This window comes from Homo sapiens, chromosome 11 (assembly GCF_000001405.40).
Source record: "Homo sapiens chromosome 11, GRCh38.p14 Primary Assembly".
In the NCBI taxonomy this organism is placed as follows: domain Eukaryota; kingdom Metazoa; phylum Chordata; class Mammalia; order Primates; family Hominidae; genus Homo; species Homo sapiens.
This window is the reverse complement of record NC_000011.10, coordinates 67,693,975-67,716,341: the sequence shown is the minus strand read 5'-3', so window position 1 is coordinate 67,716,341 and position 22,367 is coordinate 67,693,975. Positions and strand designations below refer to the sequence as shown.

The window sequence follows — 22,367 nt, the reverse complement described above, 5'->3', positions numbered from 1 at the left end:
GGTCTCAGAAATCTACTTCAAAATTTTGCTACCCTCCCCCACTGGTTGTCCTTTTCATAGACATCTCACCCACCATAGCAGGGAATGAGTCCCTCTAAACTATTCCCTCAGGAATAGTAAGAGCCAGCCCCTCTTCCCCCCCTGGCTCTTAGGACCCCCATCGCAGGGGGGTGAGGCACCCCCCGCGATGCGGGGAGTACGAGTCAGCCCTTCTCCTCCCCTGGCTCTTAGGGCACCTATCGCAGGGGGGTGAGGCACCCCCCGCAATGCGGGGAGGGCTGAGACTGGGGTCTGGGCTGTTCCGGACTTCAACACTCACCCCTTGTCCCCCCGCAGGGCTATGGCGTGTGCTTGGTGGGGCTGGAGCGGCTGGCTTACCTCCTCGTGGCTTACAGCCTGGGCACCTCAGCCGCCTCACTCCTGGGCCTGCTGGGCCTGTGGCTGCCACGCCCGGTGCCCCTCATGGCTGGAGCAGGGGTGCACCTGCTCCTCACCTTCATCCTCTTTTTCTGGGCCCCTGTGCCTCGGGTCCTGCAACACATCTGGATCCTCTGTGTGGCAGCTGCCCTTTGGGGTGTGGGCAGCGCCCTGAACAATACTGGACTCAGCAGTGAGTATAGCTGTGGGCACTGGAGGGGGCGGGGCAGGGGGCTTTATGGCTATCTGTGGGTGGTTGGCTAGGCATAGACATCCCAGAGACAGATATGGGGTCCCATGGTCACATAGGGTCCTGTGGACATGGCAGAGGCAGGTGGGGCTTCCTGTGGACACTCCGGGGGTGGGAGGAAAGTCTCATGGACACACTGGGGACAGATGGGTAGGGTGTGGACACCCTGGAGACAGTTGTGGGGGTTCCACGCCATGGACATTCCGTTAATACCCCAGGGCGGGCACAGGGCCGCATCAACACTGGAGGGTCAGTGTGAAATCTCGTGGCTACACGGGGCAGGTGTGGGGCTCTGTGGACACCCCTTAGGGACAGTGTGAAAAACACATCAGGGATTCTCCCTTTTCATACCAGGGGACAGGGCTTACCCTGGCATTGTTTTCGTGACATTTGGAGCAGATATTTTGGTCTCTGCCTCACGGAGCATATGGTAGGAGCAAGTGGCCTGTTGTACATCCACGGCATAGATACAGACATGGGCCTTTGTATAGAGAGGAGCAGGCCTGCAGCCCCAGCCCAGTCTGCTCAGTACCAGAGTCCAGGCCCCAGGTCTGGGCTGCTGGGGAACAGGGCCCTGTTTGCAGAAGGCAGCGGGTGGGCCCATGTTCAGCTCCAGGATGCTCCCTGACCACAGATGGGCACACACAGTGACACACAGCTAGCACACATGGGCAGTCCTGCCGGGCATCCATGTCAGTGTCTGTTCTGATGGGCCGAAGCTGTGAACAGTTTTGAACGTCATCCTTGGGGGTGTGGAGTGGCCGAGGTCATGCCTGCTGCTGGCAGGGCAGAGGCTGGCTCGGTGTCTCTGTCTGTAGCAGGGGCTGGAGCCTCATACTGCACCACAGTCTCTTGGCCGTTTTGCTCAAGGATAGCCAATTCTGGGCAGAGTCCAACCTGGGCATCTTGAACCCATGTTGTGCCCTGTCTGGTCATGGCATCTCCTCTGCCCAGCTGGTGAACCCCGGGGGATCCTTGTCTCTTCATAGCAGCACTGTGGGGGTAAAGTCACCCTGCAGGGCCCCAAGACAGGAGTGTTCATGTCCTGAGTGCCTGGTGAAGGTGTTAATAGTGGCCCCTATGATTTGGCAGGTGCCATGCCCTCTTTCTCACTTTAGAACTTCAGAACACAGCACACAATAGGCATAAGCTCATCTCACCATTGGGAAAAGCAGCTCTGGGGAGTTAAGTACCCAAATCACCCACAGAGCCAACATTACAGTCCTGAGAACGAGTGTGCATCTTCTGACTCCCAATCCATTACTCTTGTTGTCCACCCTGGGAGGACTCACTGGAAAGGAAGCCCCCCTCTCCATGCTTAGCTTCAGGTTTGATTTGCAGAGTTGGCAGCTGCAAACAGTTCGATCCCTCTAGTCCCGGCTGAGAAGGAGAAACAGCGCCTGCAAGCTTGGCACTGCACACCTGGGGTTGGGGACAGGACATGACTAAGCACAGAGCTTTCTTCTTTTGAGGCCACGCATGTGGTGCGGAGCGGGACCACCTGCATCCACACAGCCCGGCGCACCTGCTCCTACTTCTGCTTAGCGTGTGAGCAGTGTGGTGACCAGGGTCTCCACCAGGGGGCAGGCCAGGACCGCCTCACAGCACTTTCTAGGCGTTCTCTGGTCCCGGGCTGGGACACATACAGGGCTTAGTAAAGTTCATAGATGGTAGCTAGGCAGCCCCAGGCCCCAGGTGACACCTCTCCCCTGCCTGCCCTGTACTGCCTGCCTGCAGCACTCCTGGGAATCTTGTACGAAGACAAGGAGAGACAGGACTTCATCTTCACCATCTACCACTGGTGGCAGGCTGTGGCCATCTTCACCGTGTACCTGGGCTCGAGCCTGCACATGAAGGTGAGACTGGGCAGGGTTGGGGGTCCCATGCCCAATGACAGGTACTTCCTTAGCTCCTGCCCTGGCTTCACAGCCTCCTAAACACCACCCCTTCTCAAGCCAGTCTCTGGGCCAAGGCCCCATTCCTGGAGCCCACTGGGTGGCCCCCAACTCAGCACCCCACTTACTGGCCCACCTCCAGCCAGTCTCAGTTTGCCCATCTCTGAGGGGATTTGTGGATGCATCACAGCCATCCTGTGGGCTGTTTGGTACCCTGTTCTCCAGATGTTGGGTCTGTCTCCCTTCATGGCCTGAAGGGGAGCAGGCTCCTCATGCTCTGCTCACAAAAGATGGTGGCTCGGTCTAGCAAGTCCCAGTTGCTAAATATTTTTAAAAAATAGAACTAAAGGCCGGGCGCGGTGGCTCACGCCTGTAATCCCATCACTTTGGGGGGCCGAGGCGAGTGGATTCCCTGAGGTAGGGAGTTTGAGACCAGCCTGACCGACATGGTGAAACCTCGTCTCTACTAAAAATATAAAAATCAGCCGGGCATGATGGCAGGTGCCTGTAATCACAGCTACTCGGGAGGCTGAGGCAGGAGAATCACTTGAACTGGGAGGCGGAGGTTGCAGTTAGCCGAGACGGGGCCTTGACACTCCATCCAGCCTAAGCAACAAGAGCGAAACACCGTCTCAAAAATAAATAAATAAATAAAAATAAAAATAGAACTAAAAATAGCAGGGAGTGGGCCGGGAGCAGTGGCTCATGCCTGTAATCCCAGCATTTTGAGACGCTGAGGTTGGGGTATTACCTGTGATCTGGAGTTCGAGACCGGCCTGGGTAACAGGCTGTGAAACCCTGTCTCTACTAAAAACACAAAAATTAGCTGGGCATGGTGGCACGTCCCTGTGATCCCAGCTACTCTGGAGGCTGAGGCACAAGAATGGCTTGAACCTGGGAGATGGAGGTTGCAGTGAGCCAAGATCGCGCCACCGCACTTCAGCCTGGAGGACAGAGCGAGATTCTGTCTCCCAAAAAAAAAAAAGAAAAAAGAAAAGCAGTGAGTGGGTTGGGCATGGTGGCTCGCGCCTATAATCCCAACACTTTGGGAGGCTGAGGCAGGAGGATTGCTTGAGGCCAGGAGTTCAAGACCAGCCTGGGCAACATAGGAGACCCTGTCTCTACAAAAAATTTAAAAATTAGCTGGGCGTGGTGGCGCGTGCCTGTAGTTCCAGCTGCTTGGGAGACTGAGGTGGGAGGATGGCTTGAGCCTGGAAGATTGAGGCTGAAGTGAGCGTGCCACTGCACTCCAGCAGTGGGTGGGGGGGCTGTGGGGAAACGGAGCGACCGTGTCTGGAAAAAAGAAAAGAGCAGGAAGTATGCATACAGATATGTGTGTATGTACTGGGCTATGGTGTGAAATCATTCCTGACTGCGGGTTATAGTCAAAACCCCATGAAGAGCATCACTACAGCCCACGGGTGTGTCAGGGACACAGTGTTGTGAGCCCTGGGAAGGCAGGGCCTGTGGCCAGCACTTTATCAACACTGGCGCATGCACCCTATGAGGCAAAGGGATTTGCATTGTCCCCTTACAGTGTGGGACACTGAGGTCGCCAGGGGCGTGGCGACTGTAAGGGACAGTGCTGGATGTGAGCCTCACCTGCAAGAGGCGGTCCAGGAAGCGTGGGTGGAGGGGCTGGAGAAGTTGAGGGCCGCGTGGCCCGGGAGGCTCCCGGAGGAGGGAAGGGCCTATCTCAGCGAGGGGCATAGGCGGGGAAGGTGCGAAGCGAGGCGGCCGCGGGTCCCTGGCATCCCTCTCCTTACGCCCAGGCTAAGCTGGCGATGCTGCTGGTGACGCTGGTGGCGGCCGCGGTCTCCTACCTGCGGATGGAGCAGAAGCTGCGGCGGGGCGTGGCCCCGCCTCAGCCCCGCATCCCGCGGCCCCAGCACAAGGTGCGCGGTTACCGCTACTTGGAGGACAACTCGGAGGAGAGCGACGCTGAGGACGAGCATGGGGACGGCGCGGAGGAGGAGGCGCCGCCCGCGGGGCCCAGGCCTGGCCCCGAGCCCGCTGGACTCGGCCGCCGGCCCTGCCCGTACGAACAGGCGCAGAGGGGAGACGGACCGGAGGAGCAGTGAGGGGCCGCCTGGTCCCCGGACTCAGCCTCCCTCCTCGCCGGCCTCAGTTTACCACGTCTTAGGTCGGGGGGACCCCCTCTGAGTCCCGCGCTGTATTCAAAGGCCCCTGTCTCCCCTCCCCCACATTGGGGACGCCCCTCCCAGAGCCCGGGTCACCTCCGGGCTTCCGCAGCCCCCTCCAAGGCGGAGTGGAGCCTTGGGAACCCCTCGGCCAAGCACAGGGGTTCGAAAATACAGCTGAAACCCTGCGGGCCCTTAGCACGCGCCCCAGCGCGGGAGCAGGGTCAGGGTCTTCTTGCGACCCGGCCCCGCTCCAGATCCTCCCAGCTGTCGGCCGCGGACCCGGGCCGCGTGTGACCGCGCTTTGCACCTCCTATCCCCAGGGTCCGCCGAGAGCCACGATTTTTTTACAGAAAATGAGCAATAAAGAGATTTTGTACTGTCCTTACTGGGGAGTCCCAGGCCGCGGGGGACGGAGCGCCCCTGGGATGCACGCCCGGCTGGCCCGGCCTCTGGGCGCGGTGGTGACAGGCCCTGACCTAGGGGGACCGCAGGGTGTGGGGAGTGCGGCGCCCTACTGGGGGCGGGGCGAGGTGTCCGTAGGCCCCGCCCACCAGCCCTTCCTCCCTCCTGAGGCCCCGCCCCCCATACCTGCCTGCCTTTGCCAGCCCCAGCCAGGAGAAGGGAGCGGCGGAGCGGCTGGCAGAGACAGAGGAGGGTGTGACGGCGTTGCTGGTCCCCCATGGGTCCAGAGGGCGAGACAGACTCCCGAGGCACACCCTCCAGGGGCCTGTGTAGGCATCCTCGGCCCTCCAGCGACCATCCCCGCGTCGGACAGGGTCTACTTCCGAGCCACGGTGGGGTCACCCTGTGCCCAGTAGGGGCCTTGGAAGTGGTGGTTGGAGGCCAGGTACGCTCGGTGACTACCCTTTCCCGGCTACAGCCTCAGCTGCGATGCCCACGAGAAACAGGCTGGTGGAGGGGCAGACCCCCTACAAGGCCTGAAGGTGCCGTTCCTCCACCCGCTCCTCTTGTGGCCAGAGGAGAGGGACACCCCCGCCATGAAGAGCTCTGAACGGTTGGGTGAGGACAAGTGGGGGCCGTGGGAGGGCCATGGAGCCCCCAGCTGCACGCCAGCAGGCCCGGGGCTGGCCCACACCATTCCTCACTCCCCACAGCCTCTTTACCCCTGAGTTTGGCGAGACCCTCGTCCGTACCTCCAGGCTCCATGCCTGCCTCAGCATCGCTCTATGGATTCTCCCAGCCCTAAACTGGCCCCATCTCTCCTCTCTGCCCTCATGTGAGTTTGGTTCTTGAAGCCTCTAGTGGTCCCTGGGGCCAGACTCTGTGGCCTTGGACAGGGAGTCTGCCATCTGAGCCACAGTTTCCTTCTCTGTTGAGTGTGTGAGGGAACATGTTGGAGCCCTTAGTGTGGCGGCAGCAAGCTCCCCAGGCCCTGTAAGAAACACAAAAGGGTGCGGCGGGAGACTTGACATTTTCTAAATCTGGGAGGGAACGCTGCCTGCCTCACGCCGACCTTCAGTGACAAGCAGACTCAGAAGCGGTCCCAAGGTGCCACCATAACCTGGGTGAAGGCCAGCACTGTGTGCTTCCAGTTCCCCCTCGGCATCTGTAGACTGAGTGTTCTCTGGAGGTGTCTGGTGACATCCTCCATGGAGGCTCCAGCAAAACCAGTCGGAGTTGGGCAACCTGACGCTCGGATGATTCACCTCTGAATGGAGGGCAAGATGATATTTGGAAGGGTGTGGGCCCCTGGGATGCTGGGCAAACGGAGAGCGGGTGCCTGGATAGTGGGTCTACAGCTCTTCCCAGTTCCGAGTCAATTCCAATGTCCATGGTGCCAAGGAACAGAGGCTCTGGTGTTGAGCAGACTTGAAGGTGATCCAGGCACATGGAGTGGCCACTCAGGGGCTTGGCTCCTGGCTGTGCTCTTCCTATCTGGGCATTTCCCATGAGAAGGCTTCACAGGCCACCTGGCTGCTCCTGGCACACGGAGAATGCCCAGATGCTGACATGTGCCAGACAACACATATTTACACCTGATAGGCCACACACATGCAACATGCAAACACACATGACGGGTAACACCTGTGACAGACACTACATGACAACACACATGCACACATGATGGGAAACATATATCACAGGCCGTGTGACGGGAAACACATATCACAGGCTGTGCGACGGGCAACACAGCGCAGGCAGTGCGACGGGCCCTGGCAGCAAGCTCAGCAGGCTGGCTCTTTTCGAGCAGGAGAAGAGCTCATTGTAAGAGATGACACTGGCGTAGGTGGCACCTCCCTTGTCTCCATCACCCCCGGATAAGGTGACTGGGTGGAGGTTCTGGACCCCTGAGTGGACGAGCAGGTTGTGTCATGGCCTCCGTGTCTGATTGCCACCCTCGCTCCCAAAGCAACTCTGTGATTTTGTCCATGTGCACTGTGGGGATTTTTCTTTTTCTTTTCTTTTCTTTTCTTTTTTTTTTTTTTTTTTTGCAACGGAGTTTCACTCTTGTTGCCCAAGCTGGAGTGCGATGGCGTGATCTCAGCTCACTGCAACCTCCATCTCCTGGGTTCAAGCGATTCTCCTACCTCAGCCTCCCGAGTAGCGGGGATTACAGGTGTCCAACACCATGCCAGGCTAATTTTTTTGTATTTTTAATAGAGACGAAGTTTCACCATGTTGGCCAAGCTGGTCTCAAACTCCTGACCTCAGGTGATCCACCTGCCTCGGCATCCCAAAGTGCTGGGATTACAGATGTGAGCCATCATGCCTGGCTGGGATTTTTCAATTATGTGATTCCAAGAATCTCCAGTCCAAGATTTTCCCTATCTTTAAGTTCTCAGTAGCAGGTTAGATAACCTGAGAAGTCTCCCTCTTCAAAACACCTAGAAATGCTGGGTAAGAAACAAATGTCCTTTTAACTATAGAGCTGAGGCCGGGCGTGGTGGCTCATGCCTATAATTCCAGCACTTTGGGAGGCTGAGGTGGGCGGATCACCTGAGGCCAGGAGTTCAAGACCAGCCTGGCCAATGGTGAAACCCGATCTCTACTAAAAATACAAAAATCAGCCAGGAGTAGTGGCAGGTGCTTGTAATCTCAGCTACTTAGGAGGCTGAAGCAGGAGAATCACTTGAACCCGGAAGGCAGAAGTTGCAGTGAGCCAAGATCACGCCACTGCACTCCAGCCTGGGCAAAAGAGTGAAACTCCATCTCAAAAAATATATAAATAAAATAAAATAAAATAAATATATAGCTGAGTTCTTCAGAAAATAAGTTAAGTCCCCTAAGGCCAGAAGTGAAGAGGGGAGTGAGAACCAAGGTGGGGACAGAGGAGCTGGTGCTGCAACTGCCTGAGGGCAGGGCTGGGTTGAGCGTTGGAAGCCCTTACAAGGCAGGGGGTCAGGGTTACAGTCAAGCATGATGAAGTTGGGGTCACAGAAATGCAACACCTTTAGAGAAAGGGACAGAAACATTTCCACCCAGGGGAACAGAGAGAGGTGAGAAATTTTGAGCTTTAGGTGGTGAACAACTTTCCCATGAGATCGTTGTGTTTTCAGGCCTCTCTTATATAAATGTGGAACTCCTACAATAAAGTCATGCCACCTGTGTGGTCTAGGAATGCCAGAGTTGAGAAATTAACACTAAAAAGTTGCTTTGGGCCGGGCATGGTGGCTCACGCCTGTAATCCCAGCACTTCAGGAGGCTGAGGCAGGTGAATCACCTGAGGTCAGGAGTTCGAGACCAGCCTGGCCAACATGGTGAAACCCCGTCTCTACTAAAAATACAAAAAATTAGCCAAGCCTCGTGTGCCTGTAATCCCAGCTACTCAGGAGGCTGAGGCAGGAGAATAGCTTGAACCTGGGAGGCAGAGGTTGCAGTGAGCTGAGATTGCACCACTGCACTCCAGCCTGGGCAACAAGAGTGAAACTCCGTCTCAAAAAAAAAAGTTGCCTTGGCTTAGTGGTACCCTGGGGCCCCTGGAAAAGCCAAATAGAAAACCTCTCTAGGTGGCTCCCTCAAACCTGGCCACCCAGGATTCCCCACATAAAGCCCCTCTGAAGCTCAGCTCACGATCCAAAATTACAGAACACACAGGAAACACATCACCGCGAGAAAAGGCAACAGACATAAAAAAGAGCAGGATTTGACACCCGCTCCAAATACCCCCAGCTAGGAGAGAGAAGCTGTCCAACAGGTATGTGAGATAGGCAGCTTCTATAAGGGGCTGCCAGCGATCTCCCACCCTTGACTCTTCACAACTTTGTGTAATTTCCATCCCTTGATTGTGGGCTGGACCTAGTGAGTTTCTTTTAACCAACTGAATTCTTATTTTACTTATTTTATTTTATTTTATTTTATTTTATTTTATTTTATTTTACTTAGAGATAGAGTGGCACTGTGTTGTCCATGCTAGGCTGAAACTCCTGGCCTCAAGCAGTCTTCCTACCTCGGCCTCCCAAAGTGCCAGGATTATAAGCATGAGCCACTGCGCTCAGCAGCCTTCGCATTTATTTATTTTTGAGACTCGCTGTATCGCCCAGGCTGGAGTGCAAAGGCACGATCTCGGCTCACTGCAACCTCCACCTCCCAGGTTCAAGCGATTCTCCTGCCTCAGGCTTCCAAGTAGCTGAGATTAAAGGTACCTACCACCACGCCTGGCTAATTTTTGTATTTTTAGTAGAGACTGGGTTTCACCATGTTGGCCAGGCTGGTCTCGAACTCCTGGCCTCAGGTGATCTGCCCGCCTCAGCCTCCCAAAGTGCTGGGATTACAGGCATGAGCCACCAAACCTGGCTAACCAAATGAATGCTAAACTGGCCTGAGAGAGTCTCACTCCCTGGTGTCCACACCCCGCTAATGCCCTCCTGTGAGTGAATGTGATGGGCTACAGTACTTTTGAGCTAATCAAATGGGACGCTACCTAATGGACCTGAACCAGTCAGGCAAGTCTTTTAAAAGAAAGGGACATGGCAGAGAGGCGCTCTTCTGCAGGCTTGGAGTAGGGCAAGTGGCCATGGTGCCACCTACAAGGGGGCCCCTGGAAGCCGAGAGTGGTCCCTGATGGCAGCTTGCAAGAAAACAGGGACCTCAGTGCCCCAACGTAGGGAACTGAAGTCCGGCAACAACCAGAAGGGGTGTGAAGAGGACACCAAATCCCAGCTGAGAACGTGGCTGGCCCACACCTTGATTGCAGCCTTGTGAGGCCCTGGGCAGAGTCCCCGGCTGCACCATGCCAGACTCCTCACCCACATCACCCACATCCACAGTGCGACAGTGCATGGGTGTTGCTTAGAGCTTTGGAATTTATGGTAATCTGTTACAGAGCAATAAAGAACTGATACAAGGCCGGGATTGGTGGCTCACACCTGTAATCCCAGAACTTTGGGATGCCAAGGCAGGAGGATTGCTTGAGCCCAGGAGTTTGAGATCAGTGTGGGCAACCTACGGAGACCCGTCTCTACAAAAATAAAAGTAAAAATTAGCTGGGTGTGGTGGTGCATGTCTTGTAGTCCCAGTTCTGAGGGAGGCTGAGGTGGGGAGGATCACTTGAGCCAGGGAGGTTGAGGCTACAGTGAGCTGTGATTGCACCACTGCACTCCAGCCTGAGTGATGGGGCAAGACCCTGTCTCAATTTAAAAAGAAAAAGAGGCCGGGCACGGTGGCTCACACCTGTAATCCCAGCACTTTGGGAGGCTGAGGTGGGTGGATCACCTGAGGTGAGGAGTTCGAGACCAGCCTGGCCAACATAGTGAAACACCGTCTCTACTAAAAATACAAAAATTAGCCAGGCGTGGTGGCAGGAGCCTGTAATCCCAGCTACTCAGGGAGCTGAGGCATGAGAATCACTTGAACCCGGGAGGCAGAAGTTGCAGTGAGCAGAGATTGTACCTTTGCACTCCAGCCTGGGTGACAAGAGTGAAATTCCGTCTCAAAAAAAAAAAAAAAGTAAAAAGAAAAAGAAAACTAATACAATGGCAAAAAGTAACAGGCTGTCCCTTCGGAAGGCAGGTTATGAAGACGGATTCTGTCTTGGTCACACTTTCTGGTGTTCTTTTTGAGGCCTACCTTTAAAGGAACTGAAAGCAGCCTCTGGACAACAGCCTGGGAGGAACTGAGGTCCATATTCTAACAAGCCAGGAGAAACTGAATCTTGTCAGCAACCAGGGCATGAACTTGGAAGCAGGCAGCATCCAGGCCAGCCTTGAGGTGACTGCTGCCCAGCGACAGCTTGGCTGCAGCATTTGGTAACTGATGCTGGTGTGTTATAAAAGTATTATTTGTGAACTGATAAATGTCTATATTAAAATGAAATCTTCACAATTTATGTTCTTCTGGCATGGCTCCAGCTGGTCCCTCCATTCGGAGTCCCTGACTTCCCTCAACATCTCTCCCTTTCTTTTTATATAAATGTGCCATGGTGGTGAAGGCTTGTTCGTTCTCTCGGTTTTGATGCAGGATTTTTTGACTGGTCTGGCACACTAAAAACAAGCCAATTAAACAGAGAAACATGATTCCAAAATTCACTACAGTGGAGCCCCCAATAGACTTAATCCAAGTCATGGGGTTTAGTCCAGAAAGACTTTCTGCCACTTGATCTAACACCTCAGCTCCAGGCACAATGGATAAATGAGCTTGAGAGGCTTCAAAAATTTGTTTCTTTAATTATGTCCAAGGATAAATTATCTTCCCTACCTAGGTGTCCTTTGATCATTTCCCATGAATGATCAGTCTCATTGTAGGAATATGGTGTGATACAGAAATCAGAAGTATTCCAGTCGCACTGCATGTGCATGCAATATTCAAGACTTTTAGCCGATCTCCAAGCCAAATAACAGACTGTCTTAAATCATTAATTTGATTAGCTAATTTTTGATAACTGCCCTGTTGAGAATTCCACATTTGGGTAGAATTGGCTTGCCAATCATTAACAAAATGAGCCGTTTGAATAGATTGGTGTGATGCCACTCCAGCAGTGGTGGCCAGTGCAGTGACTGTAATTAGGTCCATGATCCAGTGATTAAAATGAAAACAAATTTCTTAGATCTTTTGAGAATTCGTTGTAACACTTCATTAATTAAATGTACAGAGGGGGAGGATTCCCAAGGTCTGCGTAAAGTTACCAGTATCCAGATTCCTTCTCGAGCTCGAACCAACATTACACTTTTCCTGGAGTCAAAACGGGAGTTAACACAAGTGTATAAATGACAGTTAATGCATTGGACAGTTTGATTTTTCGTCCAAATTTTGATATTTCCCACTAATAGCATGTAAGGAGGCTTAAGACAACTCTGTATAGGAATAGTCAGGCTGGAGGTAAACAAAGCGGAATGTTTGAATCTATGTTGATACTGAGGGAGAGGAGCGGCGGTGGCAAAACCCAATGTTCTCCATCGTACAGAAGCAATCCGAGATGCCTGGGGATGCCGAAGAGGTAGAGGGGCATACCGGGGTCGAGAAGAATTATCATAATGCCAATCGCAGTCCCATAAAGGAGGATCGGCATCAAAAAGAGGAAAAGGTTCAAAGGGGATTTATCATGGGGTTCAGAATCACGGATGCAGGGGGCGGTAGTGGGGACAACAGACAGAAAAGTTTCCCCTTCCCATACCCACAGTCCGGACATGGCAATAGCCAATTTCCAAAGTTCTGGGTGTTCTGGGCTTAGAATGGGGAGTATCATACAAGGCCTCGGGGGTGGGGGGTGTAAAGCCCTTATCTTCCCATTTTAAGGGAAAGAACGAGCTGAACCTCCTATGCAAAGTAGGATGATGATCCTCATCCTCCCAACAAGAAATAAAATAAACAGCCTCCAGGCATTCCCTTCCGCCAGAGGAGCAATTGTTTTTTAAATAGCCCTTTGGTGCCCAGTCTATTACTAAACCATATGAGTCATTTTTTAATACTACTGCATGTGAATTAACCCAATATTCCCAAATTAAAGTTTTAGATGGACCCTCAAAATTTTTAGGGCATAGTTTTCCTACAGGTTTATATTGAAAGTATGGGGTATCTCCTATTACTCCCCTTTTCATTTGTCTTAAAGGAGAAAGGGAGGGGCCGGAGACCAAATGTCCCTGTTCCCCTGTGGCTAATCTCTCCAGAAGATAAGCAGCCCAGACTTGAGTTTCTAGATGGATACAACCTGGTGCATGTCCGAGGCACAGAGGAAGGAATTTATAACCCATAGTAACATTAAATGCAGTGGCTTCTTCTCCTGGTTGAGCGGGCCAATGGTTATCTGTAGCTCCACGCCTCCACACACTATCATTAGTGTAGATTTCCACAGGAGCATCCATCCAGGTGAGAGGTCGAATAAGTGGAGGAAAAGGCATATAAGCCCAATAAGAATAATTTTGTGTAGCAGGTAAATCAGTTTGAGGAAAAACTGGTGAGACAGAAAGTATAAGTAGAAAAATTATTAAATAAAACCTATTGTAAGCAAGATCCGGTACTGAAGGAGGAAGAGAAGAACAGAGGGATGTTATTTTCAGGCTAATAGAAATGGTGAGATTTTTAGGTTTGTAAGGAGAAAAAGAAAGGTAATTAGGAGAAGTGGAATTAGTTAGAGGGGTTTATGTTGTCATTAGGGAGGATTGACCCAGACCCTTTTTGATTTGGTGTGCCAGTTTTTGAGGAATCAGCACAGATTTCACCAGGTATGAGGGCGGCCTCTGACGCGGACGTCTTTTCCCTGTGGTTTTCATTGTCAGTATTCACACGAAATTTAAGTCTCCTAGTGGGAACCCAGACAGGGGATTGATGATCTCCTTGTGAAACACAAACATACTCTCTTCCCCATGTTATAATTGTTCCAGGTTCCCAGGTATTGGTCTGGGAGTTTTTCCATAACACTGGCTTGCCTTCATTTAGGGAGAATTTTTTGCCTCCATTCAGCTGCAGTCAGAGTATTGTCTTTAGGAACATTTAGAAAGTTTAAAGTAAACAATGCTAAATGTAATTGGGAGTGGGAGTGGTTAAATTATGCTTTTGTTGCTCAGACTGTTTGGACAATTGAGTTTTTAAAGTGTGATTGACCCGTTCCACCACAGCCTGTCCATGAGGATTGTAAGGGATTCCAGTAATATTGGAAATTCCCCATTGTTGCACAAATAAATCAAAAGCCTTACTAACATATCCAGGGGTGTTGTCTGTCTTTATCTGATATGGAAGCCCCATAACTGCAAAGCAAGAATACAGATGTCTTCTTTTTTTTTTTTTTTTTTGAGACGAAGTCATGCTCTGTTGCCCAGGCTGGAGTGCAGTGGCACCATCTCGGCTCACTGCAAGCTCCGCCTCCCGGGTTCACGCCATTCTCCTTCCTCAGCCTCCCAAGTAGCTGGGACTACAGGCACCCGCCACCACATCCGGCTAATTTTTTGTGTTTTTAGTAGAGACGGGGTTTCACTGTGTTAGCCAGGATGATCTTGATCTCCTGACCTCGTGATCCACCTGCCTCGGCCTCCCAAAGTGCTAGGATTACAGGTGTGAGCCACCACGCCCGGCCCAGATGTCTTTTAACATAGGCTCTGCCTTCCCCTGTTTGGCAAATAGCCCAAATAAAACCTGAGAAGGTGTCTACAGAAACATGTACATATGAAAGTCTGCCAAAGGAGCTAACATGAGTCACATCCATTTGCCGTGAATCATTAGGAGTTAGGCCTCTGGGATTAACGTCAGGTTCCTGATTTGGAAGTACAAAAACTTGGCACTGAGGGCAGCCATGGACAATAAGCTTAACCTCCTTCCAGGTGAGAACAAATTTATCTTTTAATCCAGCAGCATTGACCTGAGTGAGATTATGGAACTCCTGAGCCTCATGGATTGCAAAAGAGACCAAACAGTCGACCTTCTGGTTACCAGCAGACATGGGTCCTGGTAAAGTGGCATGAGATCTAATATGTGTTAATATAGAAAGGGTGTCTATGTTGGCGAACCACCTGTTGTAACCTTGAAAATAAAGGAGACAATTCAGAATTATCGTTATGTTCGATAGTAGCGATTTCTATATTTTTTGTGGCATGTACAACATAAACAGAATCAGAGACAATAACGTTTTGGGGAGATCTTGTAAGGCAATAATTTCAGAATTAACTCTGCCTTTTGATCAGTGGTATAAGGGGTAGAAATAAGCTTGTCTGTAGGACTCACATAACCAGCATTTCTGTTACTGGAGCCATCAGTGAACACTGTAACGGCCTCAGGAATGGGCTGATCTTTGGTCAATCGAGGGACCACCCAAGAAGTCATTTTTATAAAATCAAACAATTTGTTTTTTGGATAATGATCATCAATAACACCGATAAAATCAGCCAAGTGAATTTGCCACAGTATGCAATGTTGAAAAGCGGCTTGAACTTCGAGCTGATTTAAAGGAACCATAGTTAAATTTGGATCAAATCCAGAAATTTTAAGTATTTGACACCGAGCTTGTCCAATTACAGATTTTTCAACAGCATCTTGTAATTTAGCCAAAAAATTAGGATATAATTTATTGTGACCCTGTTTAACAGTAGTAAAAGAAACAGGAGCTTGGCAGGAGTGTGTAATTTATCCCAAGCTCTTACACACACCTTTGTTACTTGATCCGTGGTGACAGCATCAAAGCCTAATTGGGTGGTATTGTCAGAGTAATTATTGGAGCCTGTGAGCTGAGCCTGAGTAATTGGAATGCCATCAGCCTGATTTAGCTGAGCCTGCAGATGGGCCTCCTCTGACCACCAAGTACAGAATTTTAATGCTGAGATGGAGTTAGAACAGCTTTTGCCAAAAGGTCCCAGTCTAAAGGAAGCAAAATGACCTCAGTACAAAGAGTCTGTAATACCTTTTAACATAAGGAGAAGCAGGATCATACTGAGTACAAGCATCCTTGAATTTTTTTAAAAAGGTAAGATTGAGCAGCGCATATTGACGCACTTGTACCCCTTGAGCATTGGCAGGTTCCAGCGCGACCGGATAAGCCCACGCCTCTAATCCACTTGTTTCTTTGTTCTGGCATAATAAGTGTTGCATGGAAGTTTCAAGAACAGGCACATGAGACGGAGTCAGCATAGAAGTGACAGGAAAAGTATGTGTAGATAAGGGAAACTGAGGTTGAGGAGGTCGGGCCAGTATGAGAGCACGAGAAAGGGGCATTGGGGGAGCAGAAGGGGCAGAAGCTGGTGATTATTGCCCAATCCTGTGCAACCAGAGTGGCAGGGGTGTCCATGCTTGAAGAAGGGTACAGAGAAGCAGTTTGAGTGGATGGCAAAGTGACCGGTTGAGGGACCGAAATGACAGGAGGGTGAGGGGCTGTGGTGGACGGGGGAGGGTCTGCAGAATTACAGATAAATTGTAGTTTGGTCCCAGAGCCATTAGATGGCTCCGGAGGCAAAGGCTGCAAAGGTTTGAAGAGGGAAGATAGCATAGATATGGTCTCGGGCTGTCCAAGTCGGGGCCGCGGGAGCTACAAGTACCAGCAATTCGTGAAAAGAAATAAAATCATCAGGGGGTGACATTAAGCCAAAGTCACCGGAGTTAGATATTGAATCCTCAACATTCTCAGGTTGGGGAGGAGTAGGTGAAGGGAGAAGCTGAGCAGATAACAAAGGCCGAGTGGGAGAGGAAAGCTGAGGAAGAGGTAGAGGGTCTCCAGATTCAGAAAACTGTGGTAACTGCAGGGGGTCACAGGATTGGTATGTCATTAGGATGGCACGTACCAAGGCCCAATCACCCCAAACAGTGACGGGAGCATAATTTCCTGTTGGGACCGGTTCCCGGAATTTTGCACCAACACAATCCCAAAGTTCCACATCTAACGTTCCCTTTTGAGGAAACCAAGGACAGTGTTCTTCCACCGCCCTGAAATGGGTGACCATATTTTCCATGGGTACCCAAACTCCTCCCTGTTTTAACAGGAGTTTAATATAGCAGAGATAAGCATAATGTTTAGATTCTGCATGACTCATAGTTACCCCGGACAATACACAGACAACTCACCAGTTGTCAGGGAGCCGAACAAGGGTTTCTGTGGACCGGACCGATGAACGTTTCTACATACCTACCAAAGGGAATCGGGTTCCCACATGCACTTAGGAAAAAGAAAACCACGTTGGTGTGCCAGATATTGGGGGAACCCACCCCCAATATTTCAATGTAGGTTCTTTCTATTTTCCATAAGTGTCGGCTGGCTGAGAAATAGAGAGACAGTATAAAGAGAGGAATTTTACAGCTAGGCTGCCGGGGTGACATCACATATCAGTAGGACCATGAGGCCTGCCTGATCCTCAAAACCAGCAAGTTTTTCTTAAGGGTTTCAAAAGGGGAGGGGGTGTGAGAACAGGGAGTAAGTACAAAGATCACATGCTTCAAAGGGCAAAAAGCAGAACCACTAATAAGGGTCTAACAAAGATCACAAGGCAAAGGGCAAAAGCAGAACTACTGATAAGGGTCTATGTTCAGCAGTGCATATATTGTCTTGATAGACATCTTAAACAACAGAAAAGAGGGTTCAAGAGCAGAGAACCAGTCTGACCACAAATTTACCAGGGCAGAGTTTTTCCCCACCCTGGTAAGCCTGAGGGTACTGCAGGAGACCAGAGCATATCTCAGTCCTTATCTCAACTGCACAAGACAGACATTCCCAGAGCGGTTATTATAGACCTCCCCCAAGGAATGCATTCCTTTCCCAGGATATTAATCTTAATATTCCTTGCTAGGAAAAGAATTTAGCAATATGTTTCCTACTTGCATGTCCGTTTATAGGCTCTCTGCAAGAAGAAAATATGGCTCTTTTTGCCTGACCCCACAGGCAGTCAGACCTTATGGTTGTCTTCCCTTGTTCCCTAAAAATCACTGTTATTCTGTTCTTTTTCAAGGTGCACTGATTTCATATTGTTCAAACACACATGTTTTACAATCAATTTGTACAGTTAACACAATTATCACAGTGGTCCTGAGGTGATGTACATCCTAGCTTATGAAGATAACAGGATTAAGAGATTAAAGTAAAGACAGGCATAAGAAATTATAAAAGTATTATTTGGGAACTGATAAATGTCCATATTAAAATGAAATCTTCACAATTTATGTTCCTATGGCACGGCTCCAGCTGGTCACTCCGTTCAGGGTCCCTGATTTCCTGCAACAGCAACTCTGTTCAGAAGAGGGCAGGACAGACAGTGGCAGGCCTCATCAGAACCCGAAGGCCATGCAGAACCTTCTCATGACAGCCTCCTGGGGGAGACAGGGAGCCAACGGGAGTGGTAGCAGCTCCTACAGGCCTCCCACTCTCTGGAGGATCACAAAGTGTCCTGTCATGACTCAGATGAGCCTCAGTTTGAGCTTTCGCCTCTGTAGCCTGTGTGGATATGTTCAGGGCCACCAGGGTGCCATGGTGGAGCCGTTCCCTACACAGCCTGGAGGGCTTGTGTGAAGTGGCTGTTTATAATGAGCAGACTTAGGAGAAATTGAATAAAGAGGTTTTCATGAAATGTGTAAGTGGGAATATGTTGCCTCAAAAATCCAAGTAGCCCCAACAAACGTTATTAGAAAGCCTGTCTTAGTCTGCAAATTAACACCACAAATTGGACAACTGATAAAAGAAATTTATTTCTCCCAGTTTTGGAGGCTGGGAAGTCCAAGAGCATGGTGCTGGCTTTGGGCAAGGGTCATCTTGTGGCAGAAGGGTGTAAGGCAGAAGCAAGCATGTGAGACAGGGAGGAAATCAGGCCGACCTCACTTTTATAACACACCCAGTCTCGTGATCACTAACCTACTCCTGCCATAACAGGATTAATTAATTCATGGGGGCAGAGCCTTCATGACCTAATCGCCTATGGAGGGTCCCCTCCACGACATTGTTACAATGGCAATTACATTTCCTTTTTTGTTTGTTTGAGATGAGTCTCTCCTCCCAGTTTGCCAGTAAAGCTCCTCTTTCGACTGTGTAGCCGTCCTGGTGGTCTTTTGGATGACAGTTAGGACAATTTTTTTCCTTGACCTGAGTCATTTTATCTTCACCTTTTGTAATTAGGGATATTTTAGGGGGGGGGTTTATTTAATTTTTTTCTCCAGGGAGTCTCAGTGTGCATGACCATGTCACGGCAGTGAGGACAGCAGCAGTAATGTACCTGCTTGCCGAGCCCTGAGGAACCTCTGCCATGGGAATCCTGGGGCTCTGAACACCACATAAATTCTTGTTCAAACAGTGGCCCCCGCGGGGAGTTCTTGCCTTTTTACGTGCAGCGTTTGGGAAATGTGGGGCCAGCTTCTGGCTGAGACATATAACCATTCCCTCCAATGAATGATGCTACCAACTACTAGGGTCCAGTCTGGGGTCAGGATTCACTTTATGTCTGGCTCCTCAGCCCCCTTTCCCCATCATTACCTCTGGCTTAAGCTGCTACTTTTAAAGCAGATGCTTGGAAAATCCCAGGAGAACCACCCTAAAGTGATGTGGCCCAGAGCACAGGCGTGCCAGCAATCGGCCAAGACGGTCCAGGCCAGTCTGAGCCCACTACCTGTGGTATGGACCTGGTGAGTAAGCCAAGAGTGAGAGAAGAAACACATGCTATGTAGGATCGGCATCCAGCCCTCCGGTTCCCAGCATAAATTGTGTGATTTGGGTGCCTGGCATCCCTGCCGGACACTGGGCGGCCCCCACCCAGGGATTTGTGGATACTGGGATGAAAGACATTGGCACCAATGGACATGACATCAAATTTATCACTCACATAATAAACAGCAAGAGGAGAAACAGCCCTTCCTCCCACAGGAGGGCTCAAGGTTGGTCTGGAGCAGAATAAGCTGTGTGGGGAGGGAAGAAGTGGCCTCAGGTTTCTGCCGTGCAGAAGGATGACCCGGGTGGAGGTGCCCAGGTGCAGCCTGGGGCTGATGTGGTTTGAAATTCCCACTCATGCCAAGAGACAGAGGGCACCCTTGGGCTCTCTGATTGGGCCACCCAGATATGGGGCAAAGTGGAGGGATGGGGACATAGAAGCTGTCGGTGATCAAACAACAAAAATAGAGTCTCTCTGTCTATGACACCTAAGATGCCTGCTGTGGCTATTTCTGTTCAAAGCCAGGAAGGGGTTGGTGGGAAGCCTGAAGCAGGCACTGGTCCACAGCAATTCCCACATCAAGTACGATGCCTGGGTTGCAGCCTGGGAGGGACTGTGAGCCAGAGGGCCCAGCTAAGCTGCAGCCAGATTCCTGACCTGGAGAAGCCGTGGAATCATAACTGAGAACTGTTTTAAGCCTCTCAGTTTTGGGGTAATTTGTTATACTGCAGCAGATAACTTGTCTGGATTTTTGTATTGCAGGTGGGTTGCTGCCATAACAAATAGCTAAAAACAAGAGGGCAGTATTCAAACCGGGCTTCCAAAAGGAAGGGCCAGGCACAGTGGCTCATGCCTGCAATCCCAGACTTTAGGAGGCCACAGCGGGCAGATCAAGACCAGCCTGGGCAACTTAGTGAGACCTTGACTGTAGAAAGCAAAGGTTCCTCTTCAAAGCTTCCCCTTTAAATCATAAATGTTATTGATATCTTTTCTCAGAACTAACTTTCTTCAAGTTTCTTATTTTATAGTAATACCTCTCTGTTATGCCTTATGTAGCAAATGTAACAGAATAAGCATACTCTGACTTCAATATCTATGTTAAACATGCTCACAGGCACGTAGTACATTCTACGTCCTTGTACCTTAGTCAAAATATTCGTGCTGGACGTGTCCAGGCATTTCCCAGATTGCAGCGTACACTCCTCCCTTATTTGGGAATATTATTACTTTTCTAAGTCCTTTCCTAAGCAACTTCCTTTTTTTCCTTCGTTCCTCCCTGCCTTTACCTATTTAAAAAAGTTTAAACTGTTAGCCAATCGGGTTTTAGTTTAGGTGGTAAGGTCTGGCTCCAGCCAGTGACATGGCAATAGGGACCTCATGCGTAAGGGATAAATATTCTAGTGCCTTTTTTATTTTGTATGCGATCGTGGCAGGATTGCGGACGGGCAGCACTCTTTCTGCAGAAGGTAAAAATCACCTTGCTGAGGAAGCTTTTCGTCTGCTGATTCTTCTTTGTGACATCGGGGAATAAGGATTTATTTCTAACAGTCTTGGGGGCTCGTCTGGGATCACCCAGTCTCCTTCGGGTCGGGGTCTCTGATTCCCGCCCCCCCACCAAGGGGAGGCGCCCCACTGCCTTACTGCGGTGGCCTCAGGGACTGGGAATCCGGACTTACCTGTTGTGATGAATAAACCCGGACCCTCAGCAACGTGGAAAACGGCGAATAGGCTTGCATTGCACTGCCTCGGGGACCAGATAAACTCTGTTCACAGAGCAAAGTAAAGAAACGTCGCAAGGGTGCGACAAAGTACTTGCTTGGTGGTCGGGATATTCTGGAGGTTAAAAGTGTGTGTGAATAGTCACAAGCCTCACTGCAGCTGGTGTTGCTTGTGTAAATCATGATAAGTCCTACTGCTGGACCGAGCGAGTGAGTCTTGCCTGCGGTTCCGTGGCTACCTCATACGGCTTAAGGCGGATCTTGCCTTGGGGTTTATACCGGCACGCCAATGCTAAGAGGGGCCTAAATTCCCGTGAGGAAAGTGGCCAGGTAGGACAAAGCGAGTGAAGAGTGTAAAAAGCCTCCAGAAAGAAAAAGAGGAGTTAAATCCTCCTCAGGGAAAACGAAACCTCAAGCACGTTAAGGTTAAAAATATAAGCAAGCCAGGAAAAAACAGGATAGACAAGAAATCTCTAGGATTAAGAGGTTAAGTCTACCTGATATTCAATATGGGAAAGGTTTCTAGTAAATCGGGGGCAAAAAAAGATGCAAGTTATCAAATCCCTCCCGATAGTCCTTTAAGGCTCATGTTAAAGTATTGGAAAGATAATAAAAAAACTAAATTTAAAAAAAGCAGCAGATAATTAAGTATTGTTGCTTTATTTGGACTAAAAAGCCAATTCTCAAGCCAGCGGTTTTTTGGTCAAAATTTAGGTCAGATAAAGATTAAATCTGTCAACTTTTAATAATATATGTTTATAGCAAAAGTCCTGTGTCACAAGAAAAATTGATTATGCTTTATGCTAGCGGCAAGGGCCTATATTATTCTTTATCCTTTAAAAACGATCAAAGGGGGACTAGAAAATAAAAAACAGTCAAAAATGGCCTTATCTAATAAGAGATAGGACCCTCTAGACCACCTTCCCCCGTTTCTTAATAACCTGCTGACACCTCCCCAGGTAGCTGCTGCTGTCCTAGATCCCCTTCTGGACCTGATCCCTGACCCAGCTGCCACTCCAGGCCCCCCTGCCACTCCAGGCCCCCCTGCCACTCCAGGCCTCCCCCATATAACCCAGATTCTTGTGAATCCCAGGAGCCTAAAAATTCTAAATATCCTTCTTTAAAGAAAAGACTCCAACAAAAATTAAAACAATGTAAGAAGGATATTCAGAATTTCCCTTTTCCTGCCCCCCAAAAAAGTTAACTTCAACATTCTTTCCTTTAAGGAAAGTTCCCCAAGGAGGAGAAGCTATTGGTTTTGTGGATGCTCCCCTTACTGGGTCTGAAGTTTGGAGTATAAAAAGAGAACTAAAGCCACTGTTAAATAATCCTAACAGGGTGGCAGATCAAATTGATCAGTTTTTAGGCCCACAGTTATATACTTGGGCTGAATCAGTGTGCATCCTAGGTATTATTTTTTCAAGGAAAAAAAGAAATACGATCTG

At 50.1% G+C, this 22,367-nt stretch overlaps 1 pseudogene, besides 2 other annotated features; it reads left to right on the top strand.

The window, feature by feature from the left end:
* UNC93B5 (unc-93 homolog B5 (pseudogene)) lies at positions 336-5,089 on the top strand (annotated as a pseudogene).
* Positions 5,033-5,616: an enhancer, noted in NCBI's record as "H3K4me1 hESC enhancer chr11:67478197-67478780 (GRCh37/hg19 assembly coordinates)". NCBI's record gives its function as "activates a minimal SCP1, AML or CMV promoter by ChIP-STARR-seq in naive H9 embryonic stem cells {active_cell/tissue: H9 hESC(naive)}" and the evidence as "EXISTENCE:reporter gene assay evidence [ECO:0000049][PMID:30033119]".
* Positions 5,617-6,201: an enhancer, noted in NCBI's record as "H3K4me1 hESC enhancer chr11:67477612-67478196 (GRCh37/hg19 assembly coordinates)". NCBI's record gives its function as "activates a minimal SCP1, AML or CMV promoter by ChIP-STARR-seq in naive H9 embryonic stem cells {active_cell/tissue: H9 hESC(naive)}" and the evidence as "EXISTENCE:reporter gene assay evidence [ECO:0000049][PMID:30033119]".